This window comes from Homo sapiens, chromosome 19 (assembly GCF_000001405.40).
Source record: "Homo sapiens chromosome 19, GRCh38.p14 Primary Assembly".
In the NCBI taxonomy this organism is placed as follows: Eukaryota; Metazoa; Chordata; class Mammalia; order Primates; family Hominidae; genus Homo; species Homo sapiens.
In genome coordinates, this window is record NC_000019.10 from 18,497,073 (window position 1) to 18,513,971 (window position 16,899).

The following is a 16,899-nucleotide window of genomic DNA, read 5'->3' on the forward strand; positions in this document are numbered from 1 at the left end:
CACATGAAAAATACTAATTACAGCAGCTTTATTTGTCATTGCCTAAACTCAGAAGCAAACAAGATGTCCTTCAGTAGATGAATGGATAAATAAACCATGTCACATCCAGACAACAGGATATAACAAGAAATGAGCTAGGAAACCATGCAAAGACATGAAGGGGCCTTAAAAGCATACGACTAAATCAGCCAGTCTAGAAAGGCTGCACACTGCACAGTTCCAACTACAGAACACGCTGGAGAAAAACAAAACTATGGAGACAGTAAGAGCATCGGTGGATGCCAGCGGGCAGAGGGGAGGAAGGGGATGAGTAGGTAGAGCTTGGAGGATTTTTGGGGCAGTGACATGACTGTGTGGCACTACCATGGTGGACATGTCATTATACATTTGTCTAAACCCACAGAATGTACAGCACCAAGAGTGTGTCCCAGTGGAAACTCAGGGCTCCAGATGATAAAGACGTCAGGCTGGGTGTGGTGGCTCACACCTGTAATCCCAGCACTTTAGGAGGCCTGGGTGGGAAGATCACTTGAGCCCAGAGTTTCAGACCAGCCTGAGCAACACAGCAAGACTGTCTAAAAAAATTTTTTTTAAATTAGCTGGGCATGGTGGCATACACCTGTGGTCCCAGCTACCCGGGAGGCTGGGGTGGGAGGATCACCTAAGCCTAGGAGATCAAGGCTGCAGTGAGCTATGGTTATGCTACTGACTCCAGCCTAGGCAAAAGAGTGAGATCTCATCTCAAAAAAAAAAAAAAAAAAAAAAAAAGATGTCAGCCAGATGTGATGGCTCATGCCTGTAATTCCAGCACTTTGGGAGGCTGAGGAGAGCAGATCGCCTGAGGTCGGGAGTTCGAGACCAGCCTGACCAACTTGGAGAAACCCTGTCTCTACTAAAAATACAAAATTAGCCGGGTGTGGTGGCTCATGCCTGTAATCCCAGCCACTAGGGATGCTGAGGCAGGAGAATCACTTGAACCCAGGAGGTGGAGGTTGGATGAGCCGAGATTGCACCATTGCACTCCATCCTGGGCAACAAGAGCGAAACTTGGTCTCAAAAAAAAAAAAATGTCAGTGCAGGCTCATCCATTGGAAACAAATGTGCCACTCTGTGGGGTGGATGGGACACTGAGAATGGGGGAGGCTGCAGGTGCGGGGAGGCGGGGAGAAGTATATAGGAACTCTACCTTCCACTCAACTTTGCTCAGTATTGGCCAGAGCCAACCCGGATCACTAAAACTATTTCTGACCTAAAATTAGATTTCGAGAAGGGCTTCATAGTAGCAGGACCTGACGGGACCCTAGGGCAGTCGCCTCAGCTAGAAGACAACCAGGAGGTCTATTCAGTTAGGAAGGGAAAACAAAACTGTCTTTCTGATGCCAGGCAGCTGCACTCAACGGTGTGAGACTGCACAGTACCATCCAAACTCCTGGATTTCTATGATTCTGGGAAAACAGAATCGGCAGTGTCACGACCAGGACAGAAGGTCCGGTTTAGCTTCAGGGACCCTGTGAGACCCTCCCCAATGACCAGCAGCTGGGCTGGCCTCTCAGGACATTGCTGCCCCCGGATGGGTAGACAGGCTGGGTTAAGAACACAGAAAGCTGGGTGTGGTGGCTCATGCCTGTGGCACTTGGGAAGCCAAGGCGGGAGGATCGCTTGAGCTCAGGAGTTCGAGACCAGCCTGGACAACATGGTGAAACCCTGTCTCTACTAAAAATACAAAAATTAGCCAGGTGTGGTGGCAGGCGCCTATAGTCCCAGTTACTTGGGAGGCTGAGGCAGGAGAATCGCTTGAAACCAGGAGGCAGAGGTTGCAGTGAGTCGAGATCACACCACTGCACTCCAGCCTGGGCAACAGAGCGAGACTCCTTCTCCAAAAAACAACAACAACAACAAAAACCCACACAAATGTGTGCACTAGGGACAAAGCTAAAGGCTGGCTCCCTCCTGCACGCCACCCTAGGCCACTCATTCTCAAGCCCAGGATGCCAGGAGGGAAGCCTGGCCTCAGCCTTAAAGCTGAGGCAGCTCTTGAGGCAGTGTCAACGACCTCTCCTAGCTGGAGATCCCAGCAGCACACTTCACTCATCCCAGCAGGGATGGGAGGGCTCAACAGGAATGACACAAGGGCCACCAGCAGCTGCTGGGAAGTGAAAGCAAAACTTCTATCTTGGGGCCCAAGAACTGAGATCAGAAGATTCACTTCCAACTTATGATCTGCCATTTAAAAGCTGTGTGACCTCAGTAAGACACTTAACCTCTCTGGGCTTTGTCACACAGGGTGATGATCTAACTTGCAAGGCTGCTGAAACAACATATTAACAGCACAAACTGGACCCTAACATACCCGTGACCTCCAGCATCTGCCTGTAAGCTTCTAAATGCTGGAAATAAAGCAACATTCTTTAAAACAAAACAAAACACAAATACAAATCCTGCCACGAGGAAGGGGGCAAGGTCTCGGGCCCCTGTAGACTTCCCAGGGTTGGGGAGATGGTCCCTCAGCCCACCGTGTGGCTGTGAATGATGGACTTGACATCTGAACTCATCAGTTTTCTCATCTGTAAAATGGGAATAACCCCATCCTCCCTTTCAGGGGCCACAGTCAGGGCATGAGTAGCCACAGCCACACCACCTCACGGCATCTGCTCCCGAGACAGAGGAACAGAGGGGCACAGGGGACAAGGGCTGGGAGAAAGGACACTGGGGGGCTCTCTGGGTCTCTAGGAGAACCCACCAGGGATGGCTGATGGGACAGGCCCCACAAATGGAGGAAGAGCGGGGCCGAGGGAGCCATCTGACCACAGAACATGCTCAGTGACCTTTCTCAAAACTGCATCAATGACCCCAAATAATATTTAGCAAGGTGAGAGCAAACCCATTAAGTGCTTAAGCAAAACACGAGGCCAGGTGTGGTGGCTCACGCCTGTAATCCCAACACTTTGGGAAGCCGAGGCGAGCAGATCACTTGAGGCCAGGAGTTTGAGACCAGCCTGGCCAACATGGCAAAATGCCATCTCTACTAAAAATACAAAAATTATCTGGGCATGGTGGCGGGTGCCTGTAACCCCAGCTACTCAGGGGGCTGAGGCAGGAGAATTGCTTGAACCTGGGAGGCGGAGGTTGCAGTGAGCTGAGATCGTGCCATTGCACTCCAGCCTGGGTGACAGAGCAAGACTCCGTCTCAAAAAAAAAAAAAAAAAAAGTGAGACCACCAGCCACGTTCCTGTTCCCGCCTTCCTCACTCCTGAGACAGGTGTGACCATGAGGCTTCCTGTGCATATCGTGGGTTTGTAAATGAACCCCACTGGGCTGTACCAAGTGCCCTTCAAGAGGTCCACTTCTCCTACCACCTTCACAGCCGCTCCATCAACTGGCTGCTTGTGACATTTGAAATCTTACACACAGAATCCAGTTTTCTCCAGGCAGGACCTGGCACAGCTTTGTTCCCAGAGAGTCCATTCTCACAAAAGGAGAGACGGGAACTGGGAGGTTCCCTCAAGGAAGCAGCTGTGTGTTGGGGCCGATGGAGAGGTCGACTGGTCCCCTGGGAAGGTCGGCATAACACTGGTGCCCTGCAACCTCTTGGCGAGCTCTCCCTGTGCCAGGCCCCGGGCAGCATGGCAGAGGGTGGTCTTGGGCTGGAACATACCATTGTGCAAAATAGCTCTGGGAACTGTCAGGGGCCATACAAAGCTCACTATTTTTCAACTCAAAAACACTGCTTTAGCTTTTTAATACGTCACTGAGGTACACTGAAGCATACCCAAGACTCTCAAAAACAGCCTAATACAGTTTGAGTGCTTCAAAAAATACCAGCCAATTTGCACACAGATCACACTCAGGAAAGTGAACACATGGCGGCTGCTCGCCAAATTCAACTCCACAGAGTTGACTCTGTGACTCCACAGAGCAGAACCTGCAGGGAAGCAGGCCAACCTCCAACCACCGAACTTGGGCCAAAACTCACAGCAGGAGAGGCAATGCCGTCCCATCCCAAGCATGTGGGCGCACACCCAGGAGAAGAACGAGCGGGCCACGACACTGTTCTCGCCAGCTATGCCTGTGGGCAGCAAGCAGCACACCTCCAGGGGCCACGTAGACAACCTGTGACACAGTGAACCCCACTCCACGCCAAACCACCCAATGGGAAACAGTGGTGAGCACAGCCATGGACCACAGAGAGTAACGCAAGTGGGCAAAACACATGAGAAGCCACCAAGCAGACCCGGATGAGAGCAATACTGTGTGTGCCCAGCACCAACACCAAATTAAGAGGAATCAAAAACCCTGCTGAGCGAGAGAACGTGGGAAAGGGCCTGGGATGGGCCCACTGTTGGCGAGGAGGGGCCCACGCCTCAACAATGAGGCGGACCCTCCAACGTGCCTCACACTTCAAGGCAGCTCTTCCAGGCCAGCCGGGGCCTTGGAGTGAGGGGCCACTGGCAGAAGGGAGCAAGACACTGGTCCACGGCACAGCCAGCTCAGAGCCAGGCGGATGAGACGGGGGCCAAGCCAGGGGCCGGCTACTCACGAGTGCACACGAGGACAGCCAGGATTCACTAGGACAGGATCTGCCCAATCCCAGGCACTTCCCACTGGTCCATCTGACACACCTGGGGGCCCAAGAGGTGATGGCATCACATAAAAGCAAAAGAAACTTGAAACCACCAATCCAGGCAAATTCGGACTCTCCCACAAATGGTCCATCCTTGGGGAGCATCTCCCCCACATCCTCAACCTCCAGCTACGTGTCTGCGGGTGGGCAGGAAGGAGGGGAGGCAGCATGGGCACCAGTGACCAGGACAGCCCTTTCCAAAAGAAGGCCCTGAACACAGTCAAGAGGAAGAGGAAGAAACACTGGGGCCTGGCGGGCAGGTCCTGGGGCCTCATGAGGGTGGTTTGGGGTCAGAAGACACACGATCAGGAACCAGGCGTCACCCCCAGAGGCTGCTGGAGTGCGTCCCACAGAGGCATGAGCAGCACCTGGCATGGGGACAAGGAGCTTACAGCAAGTGGGAGGTGCTCTGGTGCTCTACGCTAAGCTGCCTGGTGCCCCACAGCTCCACGGGGCAGGAGCACCCGGGAGGCTCCTACCACCACAGCCAGATAGCCCATTGAGGACGCACACCCCCAGTCCAGCACCCAGAGGTGAATGAAGGATTCCAGGACAGCAAGGGAGACACATGACCACCCTAGGGTGGACCATGGAACAGCTGTGGGTACACAAAGGCTCCCTGGAGCCATCATCCGTGGAGAGCACCAACTACGTCTTCTGAGTTGTGGGCAGGCCAGGAGGGGAGGGAGGTGTCCCAGGTGAGGGCCAGGCCTGTGGTGACTGTGCCTCGCAGTGGGCAGGGCTGCCAGAACCCAGCAGTGAGCTCACCTTAGTCAATTCTGCCAGCGGGCACCCCCACCACCAGGGAAATCCTGCAACCAGCCGCATCAGGAGCAGACGTTTATAACTAAAAGATCAAATATCCCCAACCACAAAAGTCCCAGTAATCCACACATGGGACTTCCCAAAATCCCATCTCTGAGAGATGACAACTGAAGAAGCCGAGGAGGAAGAGACGGTGTTTAAATGAGAGAGAGGGCCCAATGACAACGGACACCAGACACCTGCCACTTGTCATGTTGCAGATGCCAGGAGGAGGAGTGGGAACACGGGGTGGCAGCATGGGTTAGTGTTCTGCAAAGAAACCCAATGACCTTCCTGTTTTTGCTTCTGAGACAACTTAGGGAAGGAGTTTTGGGCCATCAATGCGGAATCCAAAAGCCCCTGTCTTGGGAAACCACGGGGCCACCTGGCCGGGTGTGCCAATGCCCAGCAGAGCTTCGGTTATTAACAGGGCAGGCCAGCGCTCCAGGCAGGCAGCTCGGCACTTCCAGTGGCTGCACACCCACCACACACAGGCACAGGGCTGGGAGGCACTGCTCGGCTCCCTGGGCCCTGCCAGAGTGGCTCCCTATCACTTGCTTATTTTATAAAGTGGCACTTTACAGCTGGTTTAATGTGGTAAAACAGGAACCTGGCTTAAAAAGAAAAGGGAACTCGCACTGTGCCAGGCTGGCACCCAGCGCAGGGACATCCCTGTAAGCATCCGTGGTCTGGAGAGTGTCCAGTGGCACCGCCCGCCCAGCAGTCAGGGCCGCGGGTATCTTTATGGCATCTGGGAGGGAGCACCCCCACCCTGGGGTGATAAGTGGGATGAAAAGAAGGTGACAGAGTTTTTCTGTCTTATTTCTGGAAAAGGCAACTGGCAAAGCTGGAGAACAGCAAGGGAGTGAAGCAGACCCATAGGAGCGAGGGAGCCCCAGCAAGTGGGGGGCACGTCTGGCCAGGCTCTGAGGAACTGAGCTGCCCGTACTGGGAATCCCAGGCAGGATGTGGGCTCTTGGAGGTGATGGAACAGACAGAACAGGCTATTGCAGGACACACGTTCCTCCTCACCCGGCCCCACCACATGTTCATCTAGTAACAGTTCACCAAGTGAGCTGATGTGGCCCCAGACACCCAGAGCTCAGGGTACGTGCAGAGCCACGGCTGCTGAGCACTCAGGGGCTGTGAGGAGATGTCTGAGCAGTGGTGGGAAGGGACGGGACCTGTTACTCTGGCCACCTGGAGCCAGCGGGAGTGGAGAATGGGCTGTTCCCAAGCACCCGCCTAGGGCTCAGAAACACCACCCTTCCTTGGGTCCTGCCGAGCTTCCCTCCTCAGGGAGCCTTCCCTGCTGCAGGCTGGATGAGGGCCCACGGGACTGTCACTCATCACTCCCGTTCAGAATGCACCTGGCTAACTGGAGTCACACGTGGGGGCCTGGCTGCTGCCTGGCCAAGGTTAAGGACACACACTCTGGCCAGACGCTAGGTCTGACCCCACTCCTATCCATGTGGACAACCCGCTCACTCACATCCCCCCGCCTGATCCAAGGGGCTCACTGAAGCACTGACTCCTCGGCATCCAGGGAGGCCTCGCCTGGTGGCTGCAGCGTGCAGAGGATCTGCGGGCTGTCACGGCGGATGCAGGGGTCAACTGTGCTGGCACCTCTGCTAAGCATGCATCACTTCATTTTGGCCTCCTCAGCCACTTGTGCCAACAGGCCAGGGACGGCACAGAGAGGCTGGAGGGGTGAGGCTGAGGAGGAGGGGAGGTGGGCAAAGGGCATCTGTCAGCCATCTACCTAAGGGTGTGCTCACTGACGCACAGAGGCCACTCCTGCTCTGTTTTTCCAAAGCAATCTGTGACTCTCGGGATTACCCACATCTCAAGTCACATCCTGATTGAAATCCATGACGCGTGGCTTGCTTTGCTAAATTTCCCCTACATTTTCTACAGAGCTCAGCATTCTTCAACTCCCATCTGAAATTGCCATGTACATCTCATCCCTGTCACGTTCATCTCTGCCTGGGAGGAAGGGGAAGTGGCTACAGACTCCAGAACCTGCAGCCTGGGTCCGGTCATCAGAGCAGTGATGCTCTCTGTCATTGGTCAGCAGAGGTTAGGCCCACCTGTCAGGCCTCAGAAGAGCCTGGCACCGCCCACAGGGTGGATCAACGGGTTAATAAGTCACAGCAGAAAACCTGAGGCTCGACTTTAAATAAACAGAACTCTCCCAGCTGCATCCCTGCCAAGGCCCGAGAGTGACACTGGCACATGAGCTATATCTCCCCCCACCAACACACCCCATGGGCTGTCATGAGAAACACTGCATATACCAGAACCCATTTACTCTGGGACACTCTCCACGGAGCCCTGCCACCACCTGTCCAGTGGACAGGGCCTGAGGGACACAAAGCCCCCACAGCCCTGAGCACCCGAGGAGCCACCTGGCCTGGGGATGTGTGATGCCTGCGCACAGGAGGCTCTCAGCCCACAGCTCCAGCAGAGGAAAAAACTCTTGCCTTGTGGAGACAACCCAGGCTTTGACTATTCTGGGCTGCCAGGGCTGTGGGAGCAGCAGGTCAAGGTTCAGGACATCTCACCCTCCTGCCATCATGGCCAAACCTCAGGCGACTGAGAACGATGGGCAACTTCTGTGTGCCAGAGGGCAGTGACATACCAGGACATCAGGGGAACACAAGCCACTGTCCCGTAGCCCCCACTCCTCTCCCATCCTCTCCTCCCCTCCCCTCTCCTCTGTGGTGTGCTTTCTTCTGCATCTGCCACAGCTCACCCAACAGCAAATGCAATCCCAACTAGTTAGGCTCTTGTTAGGACTGAAGATAGCTTTTGCTATTCTTCTCTACTCAATTCTTCATCCTAAGGATGCTGTGGCCAGTCACACCCTCCCACGGGCAAGGGCACCCGGCAATAAGCCCCAGCTACTGCCATTACTCATCCCACTTCCCAGGCAGGCAGGAAGGCAGGTGTGCAGAGCACTGGGCAGGGCCATAGTACCTGTGCCACACACACACATGCTCTTCACCTCATCCAGAGTTTCCTAGGTTTTGGTGCTTCAACAGCCCTCAGTAACGCAGGCTCCTTACTATGAGATAGCCTGGGAGAGAGCTGGGGTTTCTGTGATGGGAAAGGGCTAAGCCGGGAAAGGAAACAGTGTGTGACTGGCGCCTTGCAAGCCACCTAAGGCACCAGGCACACACAGGGGAGGGGAGAAGAGGACGGGAGAGGAGTGGGGGCCACGGGATGCGGCTTGTGTTCCCCTGATGTCCTGGGACACAGCTCCCTGAACCCCAAAACACCCCACGGACAGGAAAGCAAAGTAAGGAGAGGTGAATGTGAGTTGCAGGAGGGGCTGCAGGCACTGACCTGACCTCCCACCCACAGGATGACCCCACACAGCAGAGGGAGAAACTGAGGCCCAGAGGGTGGCACCACTGTACAGTCAGGTACCCCCACCCTGTGTCCTGCTCTGTACTACACAGACCACCCAGCACACATGTGGCCAATACCAGTGAGGCAAAGGTGGCAGCCTGGGCCCCCCATGCTGGCCCTCAGCCATCCCTGGGACAACAGTCTAGACACCCAGAAGCTCTGCACCTAGGCCCACTGACCCAGCCTCCCTCCAAGCCCTGGGTGCCCATGTGTGCCCAGGCTGCTGCCCCTGGCACTCAGGCCATGCCACACGCAGCAGCTGGGTCTGAAGCCTGGCTTGGAACCAGCCCCCCACAGTCAACATGGAGACAGCCCTGCTGGCACCGCCCCAGGCCTGGGCCCTGTCTCCCGCACCCTCCAGCGACCTGCCTGGGCCACCCTCAAGGTGCGCCTGCTCCTAAGCCGCCTCCCACAGTGGAGGGACACCCGGGCTGCTTCAGAGCAGACTGTGGCAAGTTACCCTCTCCCCCAGGGGGAAAGGGATCCAAAGCTCCTGTGCCTCTGGGGTGCAGCATCAGCCCAGACTTCTGCTCGGCTGGGTGCCATGGCTCACGCCTGTAAGCCCAGCACATTGGGAGGCCAAGGCAGGAAGTTCGTTTGAGGTCAGGGGTTTGAGACCAGGCTGAGCAACACAGGGAGACTCTGTCTCCATATAAATAAAAAATTAGCCAGGTGTGGTGCCACGCACTTGTAGTCCCAGCTATTTGGGAGGCTGAGGTAGGAGGATCACTTGAGCCCGGGAGCCAAGGCTGCAGTGAGCTATGATCACACCACTGCACCCCAGCCTGGATGACAGAGCAAGACCTCGTCTGAAAAAACAAAAGCAGACTTCCGTTCAACAGCATGTGAACCTCACCTTGCACACCTAGGAGTTCGTTACCCTCCTCAGCTCAGAGATTAGAGGGAACTCTCCCCACAGAGATGCTATGATCAGAGGGCCAGGGACCCTGTCTCATTGATCCTACGCTCTACGCCAGACATCGCCTCAGAATCCTTCTCAACACGGCTCCACTTCCTATCTACAAGGAGCTGGCCTACAAGATGGAAGCGATTCCTACATTATGGGGTCATGTGGCTCCAGGCACATGGCCCTCGACCAGTGGGAGCCTGTGCACAGGTAAGAGAGCCAGGGCAGCCTGGAGATGAGCTGGACACAGGCTGCCAGCACTGGCTGTCCCCTCCCACTTGCCAAATCCAGTGTGAGCTGAGCACATTTCACTGGAACAAGCAGGCGTCTGAGAGCATCCAACTCCAAAAATAGTGCCACCAGGAGAGGAAGGAACACGCTCTTCTAGCTGCACCCGCTCCCTGCCCTCAGATACCTCCCTGCACAGTCTGTGCCTGGCCTGTGGCAGTTCAAGGGTCACACCCAACTCTGAAAAGGGAGAGATAACATCCCCAGATAAGAAGAGTGAAAACAGGCCAAGTCTGCTGCCAGAGCCTGGCCACAGACCCACAGCCCCTTGGCAGAGAACTGCTCAGGAAGTCCTCCTCTGAGTCTTTCAAGCCACTGGTATCTAACAAAGAATCTAATCTGCACACGGCACTTGCCCCGAGCTAAGAAAGTTCTGGAAGGGTCTCCTAGGTCTCCCCAGCCCAAGGTGAGCTTGCTTCTGTGGAGGGAGATGCCTGCCTGCCCATGTCCACCACCACTGCACACCAAGCCAGTCTGAAGCCACCATGATCTGGCTGTTGCTGGTTTATGGTGCACCTCCCCGCTGCGAAGAAGTGGGCCATGTGAGCGCAGGGGCTTCATCCCTCCTGCTTCTTACTGGAGAAACACTCCTGGAGGCAGCCGAACCCTCACTGGGTGCAATCCCTCTGTGTAGGAGATTGCACTGTGTAGGTTGTGCCCCGCCGAACAACCACGCAGCTGAGGCTCAGCTCAGAGACTGCATTCAGAGCCCAACTAGAATCAGACACAGGTTCTGCGGGCCCCACTACCCATCTGGAGGCAGACGCCTGACCCCCAGCTCCATCCCCAGAGATGAGGATGCAGCAGGCTGAGGCTGACTCCATGCGGCAGCTGCTCCCAACTCCACAAGGGACACACAAGCCAGCCCTTCCCATCCAGGCTGCACATGACTGTGTTTTGTTTCAAAGGTCACATACAGGTCACAAATAAAGAGGCCGGTTCCCACTGGAGGCTATGTCAGGATTGATGCAGTCCCTGAGAAAAACTCCCGGAAAACCCAGGGACTCCCATGCGGGCTGAGAAACATTTTGAGTTTGCATGAGATCAAAATAGGAGTCACAGCTGAGTGTGGTGGCTCACGCCTATAGCACTTTGGGAGGCCAAGGCGGGAGGATCACTTGAGGCCAGGAGTTAACAGACTGCAGTGAGCTATGATCACACCACTCCACTCCAGCCTGGACAGCACAGCAAGACCCTCTCTCTAAAAAATAAAAACAAAAATAGAATAAAATAAAATACAATACAAGAGTCAGCAGCCAGGAGGGTAGCCTGTCCCAGAGTGGATGCCCTCAGGTTCAAGGTTTGACATCATCTGCACTAACTGTGTGATCTCAAGTTAGCCATTATCTTCTAGATGTCCCATTAGTGAAATAAAGGGGCCAGAACAAAAGGACCCTCCAAAGTCTCAACTGGCCCTGGCCAACAGCAAGGCTTCACAGGGCTGCCTGGCACTGCACAGGGGCCTGGGAGCCCAAGGCCCGAGCCTGGCCCCACGACAGTGGTTCCATTAACACACCAACTCTTCCTGCCACACACCCAGCTGGACACCCTAGACCAGCGGCCAGCAAGCTTCTTTTATGAAGGGCCAAAGAGTTGGTATTTCAGGCTTTGTGAGCTAGACAGTTGCAGCCTTGGCTGCCGTCACAGGGCAAGAGCAGCCATAAATTACAGGTAAGCAAGTGGGCAGCTGTGTCCCTATAAAACTTTATTTACAAAGACAGGTGGCAGGCCAGACCCAGCCCTTTGGCCACAGTTTACCAACACGCTATAGTCTCTAGGGTTGCTGCTGAAAAAGATCACACTACAGCCCACTCTGTCCGCGTCCTAACAAGGCAGCAAGCCTTGTTGTGGGGATAAGCAACTATAGCAGTGACCCTGGGCAGAGCCTATAGGCCTCAGTTTCCTTGAGGACACAAAAAGAGACCCTGTGAGTCACCTCTACCACTAATTCCATGGGGAAATGGAGCAAACATGAGGTGGACGCAGCCCAGGTTCCCCTCAAGATCTCGGGAATAATATTTCAGAGTAGCCGTGAGCAGGAGGCACCCACCAGGGCCCTTCCCCACAGCAGCCAGGTTGGAGGTCCTGTGAACCAGGCGCCCTGATGCAATCCAGCAGGCATCCTTATCACAGTGCCCACTGAGACCCTAAGGTCACTCCCTCCAGGTGTAGGGGCTACAAGATCCACAGCAGGAAGCTCATTGTACCCCGAAAAGTCACTGTTTTCAGAAAGGAAAAAGGAACTTCCCAACCCAGCTTACCCTCCTCAGGCCTGTGGGAGGAGACAAGGCCACCCCAAGCCCTTTGGGTTCCTGGTGGGGAGTCACCCTTCCGAAAGAAGGGCAATGTGATGGGGTGGCCGCCCCCACCCGGCCCCTTGGCCCACAGGCCCCCACTAATCAGCCTACCCTGGATAGAGGGGCCCAACCTAAGGTCTCCAGGGTGAACACAGATGGAGACACAGGCCAATGCACGTGCGCGCGCGCGCACATACACACACACACACACACACACACACACACACACACACACACACACACACACACACACACTCCCCTCCCCAACTGGAGGCCTGGGGCTCCTCCTGGAAGTAGGTGGATTCCACCTGCCCACAGGATCCTAAGAAAACTCTGCTCCTCCTCTTCCCTCCCACCCACCTTCAGCAAATGCCTCAGGGCTAGGCCAAGGGCAGCAGCTGGACCCCCCCGCCCAGCCAGTGCCCCCCAGTGGGCTGTCCCTGACCTGCAGGACCTCCAGGCCACTTCTCACCTGGAAGAGACCTCATTTTCCACAAAAGCTTAATCCAAAAAGGGCTAAAAATAGAGATTCTGCACCCATCTGAGCTCTTTGCCTGAGAAGGGCCCTGAAGCCTCAGTACCTGCAGGGCTCAGAAGTCCTGCCACTGAGAGGCTCAACCACCCTGGCCAACCTCACCCAAGGCCCTTCCTAACCCTCACTGCTTACAGAAACCCATGTCCCAGCTGGGCACGATGGCTCACGCCTGTAATCCCAGCACTTTGGGAGGCCAAGGTGGGTGGATCACTTGAGGCCAGGAGTTTGAGGCCAGCCTGGCCAGCATGGTGAAACCCCGTCTCTACTAAAAACACAAAAAACTTAGCTGGGCATTGTGGCGCAAGCCTGTAATCCCAGCTAATTTGGAGGCTGAGGCACGAGAATTGCTTGAACCTGGGAGGTGGAGGTTGCAGTGAGCCAAGAATCACACCACTGCACACTCCAGCCTGGGTGACAGAGTGAGACTCGGTCTCAAAACAAAAAGAGAAACCTGCATCCCAACACAGGCCGGGCAACCGCACACTGGCTATGCAGAAGCAGGGCACGTAGCCACTGTCATCTCCACTCAGCCCCAGCTTCCCTCACTGCAGAGCCACACCGGGCTCTCCCTGTCCCTTTCTCTCACCTGAGCCCAGGTGATCCTGCTCGAGACCTTCCTCTGTCACCTGTGACCAGGTGACTCCTGGGTCCATCCAGGGGCATCAGAGGCCCTGCAGGTCCTAGCTCTCACAGGACAGTCACATACATGAGGGCATTTAAATGGCTCCAAGACCACCCCACACCCATTAAGATGGCTACCATCAAAAAATAACCAGTTCGGGCAAGGACGTGGCGAAACCACAACCCTTGTGCACGGCTGGTGGGAATGTAAAATGCTGCAGCCGCTGTGGAAAACAATCTGGCAAATCCTCAAAAAATTAAACACAGAATGACCAAATGAGGCCGGGAGCAGTGTCTCACACCTCTAATCCCAGCACTTTGGGAGGCCGAGGTGGACAGATAACCTGAGGTCAGGAGTTCAAGACCAGCATGGCCAACATGGTGAAACCCCGTCTCTACTAAAAATATAAAAATTAGCTACGCATGGGCCGGGTGCGGTGGCTCATGCCTGTAATCCCAGCACTTTGGGAGGCTGAGGCGGGCAGATCATGAGGTCAGGAGATCGAGACCATCCTGGTTAACATGGTGAAACCCCATCTCTACTAAAAATATAAAAAATTAGCCAGGCATGGTGGTGGGCGCCTGTAGTCCCAGCTACTCGGGAGGCTGAGGTAGGAGAATGGCATGAACCCGGGAGGTAGAGCTTGCAGTGAGCTGAGATAGCACCACTGCACTCCAGCCTGGGTGACAGAGCGAAACTCCGTCTCAAAAAAAAAAAAAATTAACTTGGCGTGGTGGTGGGCGCCTGTAATCCCAGCTACTTGGGAGGCTGAGGCAGGAGAATTGCTTCAACCTGGGAGGCAGAGGTTGCAGTGAGTCAAGATCACGTCACTGCACTCCAGCCTCGGCGATCCAACAGGTCTACTTCTGGGTATGTATCCAAAAGAACTGAAAGCAGGGGTTTGAACAGATACTTACATGCCCTGTTCACAGTAGCATGGTTCACTACAGTCAAGAGGTGGAAGCAACCCAAATGCCCATGGACAGAGGAATGGATGAGCACGATGTGGTCCATCCACACCACAGGACATCAGTCTGGTTCCCTGCCCACTGCCCACCACCCACCATACCACCGGAGGGGGCCTGATGGAGAAGGTGGAAGTACAGGGGGCCCCAGCTCCCTCTGACAGTGCTGTGGGCTTTCCAGTGGGAAAATTGCTAAAGAAACCAGGAAGCTGGCCAGGCACAGTGGCTCAAGCTTGTAATCCCAGCATTTTGGGAGGCTGAGGTTGGAGGACTGCTTGAGCCCAGGAGTTCGAGACCAGCCTGCGCAACACAGTGAGACCCTGCCTCTACAAATTAAAAAAAAAAAAAGGGCCGGGCACAGTGACTCACGCCTGTAATCCCAGCACTCTGGGAGGCCGAGGTGGATGGATCATGAGGTCAGGAGTTCAAAACCAGCCTGGCCAAGATGGTGAAACCCCGTCTCTACTAAAAATACAAAAATTAGCCGGGCATGGTGGCAGATGCCTGTAATCCCAGCTACTGGGGAGGCTGAGGCAGGGGAATCGCTTGAACCCAGGGGGCAGAGGTTGCAGTGAGCCAAGATCATGCCACTGCACTCCAGTCTAGGCGACAGAGTAAGACTCCGTCTCAAAAAAAAAAAAGAAAAAAAATTAGTTGAGTGTGATAGCATATGCCTGTAGTCCCAACTACTGGGGAGGCTGAGGTGGGAGGATCGCTTGAGCCCAGGATGTTGAGGCTGCAGTGAGCTGTGATCACGTGATTGCACTCCAGTCTGGGCAACAGAGCAGAAAGCTCCGTCTCAAAAATAAAGAAATAAAAATAAAGAAACAGGCCAGGTGCGGTGACTCACGCCTGTAATCCCGGCATTTTGGGAGGCCAAGGCGGGCAGGTCGCTTCAGCTCAGAAGTTCAAGACCACCCTGGGCAACATGGTGAAACCCCATCTCTACAAAAACATACAAAAAGCAACCAGGCGTGATGATGGGTGTCTGTAGTACCAGCTATTTAGGAGGCTGAGGTGGGAGGATTGCTTGAGCCTGGGAGGCAGAGGTTGCAATGAGCCAAAACTAGGAAGCCAGTTCTCTATTTCAGAAAAAAAACAATAAAACCCTAACAGCAGAGCTATAGGAGAAGCTATTTTAAATTTTGGAGGCTTTGCTTTCTGGGATCATTTTTTGGGTCAACGAGGAGAGCAGCTGACACCTCGTGCACAGCCAGGGAGAACAAGCCTGTCTCACCTCTAGGACAACACCTTCACCTGAATTGGGAAGTTGAGGCTCAGGGAGGGTGCCAGCAGCCTGGAGCCCCAAATTGTCAGTGGGAGCAGCGCCACCAATGTACCTGATCCCCAATATGCAGTTCTCAGCATCCTTCAAGAGAGACGCCTCTTTGTGAAAACATTTTCACCAACATATAAAAAGGACACGGGGCGCAACAACAGCATCTCATGAAGAGCTGAGGCCCCCGATGGGCCTGGGGGAAGGACAGGGGTGTTAACAGTAGGGTATATACTTGCGGTCTCCCCATCTGAAGAACGGTGAGAAGGACTGACCACAGCCCTCCATCACCAGCAGCTCAATTTGTCCAAAGAGGAGCAAGCCAAGCGGGGCTGAGCTGCCTTCCCTGGCCTCAAAATCGCAGCCTCATACTCCAGGCTCCACTCACAGACACATGGGCATGCCAGGCCGTGGCCTGTGCTGGGTCACCTGCCTCACCTCACCTCATCGCTCTATGTAGCCTCACTACGGGACAGTGGACTGGCCTGTACACACACAAGGCCTGCAGCATCCGGACATCCCCAGAACCAAGCATAGTGCCAAGAACACAAAAATGCCCGAAGAATACTGACCTGTCAGGCTCCACGATGCACAGAAGGTGCAGCATTAAAACATAAAGTGTTCAGGGAAGAAGAGACGCAAAACCATATGATTGTGCCACTATGACAACACGGTACACCCAGGCGAGACAGAGGAGGGTGCAAAGGTGTCAACAGAAATTACCTGGGGCAATGAGAACAGACTTGCTAATTTTAGGTACATTGCAGGCTTTCTACCCTGAGTTATACTGCTTATATAGTAAAAAGGAAAAAAAAAACTTCACAGGATGCTTTTAAAACAGGAGTTCAGGCTGGGCCCAGTGGCTCACGCCTGTAATCCCAGCACTTTGGGAGGCTGAGGCGGGCGGATCACAAGGTCAGGAGATGGAGACCATCCTGGCTAACACGGTGAAACCCTGTCTCTACTAAAAACACAAAAAATTAGCCGGGCGTGGTGGCGGGCGCCTGTAGTCCCAGCTACGCAAGAGGCTGAGGCAGGAGAATGGCATGAACCTGGGAGGCAGAGGTTGCAGTGAGCCAAGATCACACCACTGCACTCCAGACTGGGCGACAGAGCGAGACTCCATCTCAAAAACAAAACAAAACAAAACAAAAAAATCGGAATTCAGTT

General features: G+C 54.6%; 1 protein-coding gene across 2 annotated transcripts in view, besides 3 other annotated features; it reads right to left on the reverse strand.

Annotated features, from left to right (window-relative positions):
- ELL (elongation factor for RNA polymerase II) overlaps nt 1-16,899 on the reverse strand; it is a 79,408-nt gene that overhangs the window by 54,410 nt on the left and 8,099 nt on the right. The gene's annotated exons all lie outside the window — the stretch shown is intronic.
- Nucleotides 3,354-4,340: an enhancer, noted in NCBI's record as "H3K27ac-H3K4me1 hESC enhancer chr19:18611236-18612222 (GRCh37/hg19 assembly coordinates)". NCBI's record gives its function as "activates a minimal SCP1, AML or CMV promoter by ChIP-STARR-seq in naive H9 embryonic stem cells {active_cell/tissue: H9 hESC(naive)}" and the evidence as "EXISTENCE:reporter gene assay evidence [ECO:0000049][PMID:30033119]".
- Nucleotides 7,561-7,610: an enhancer, noted in NCBI's record as "active region_14324". NCBI's record gives its function as "activates an Ori minimal core promoter by ATAC-STARR-seq in GM12878 lymphoblastoid cells {active_cell/tissue: GM12878}" and the evidence as "EXISTENCE:reporter gene assay evidence [ECO:0000049][PMID:35858748]".
- Nucleotides 10,349-11,190: an enhancer, noted in NCBI's record as "H3K4me1 hESC enhancer chr19:18618231-18619072 (GRCh37/hg19 assembly coordinates)". NCBI's record gives its function as "activates a minimal SCP1, AML or CMV promoter by ChIP-STARR-seq in naive H9 embryonic stem cells {active_cell/tissue: H9 hESC(naive)}" and the evidence as "EXISTENCE:reporter gene assay evidence [ECO:0000049][PMID:30033119]".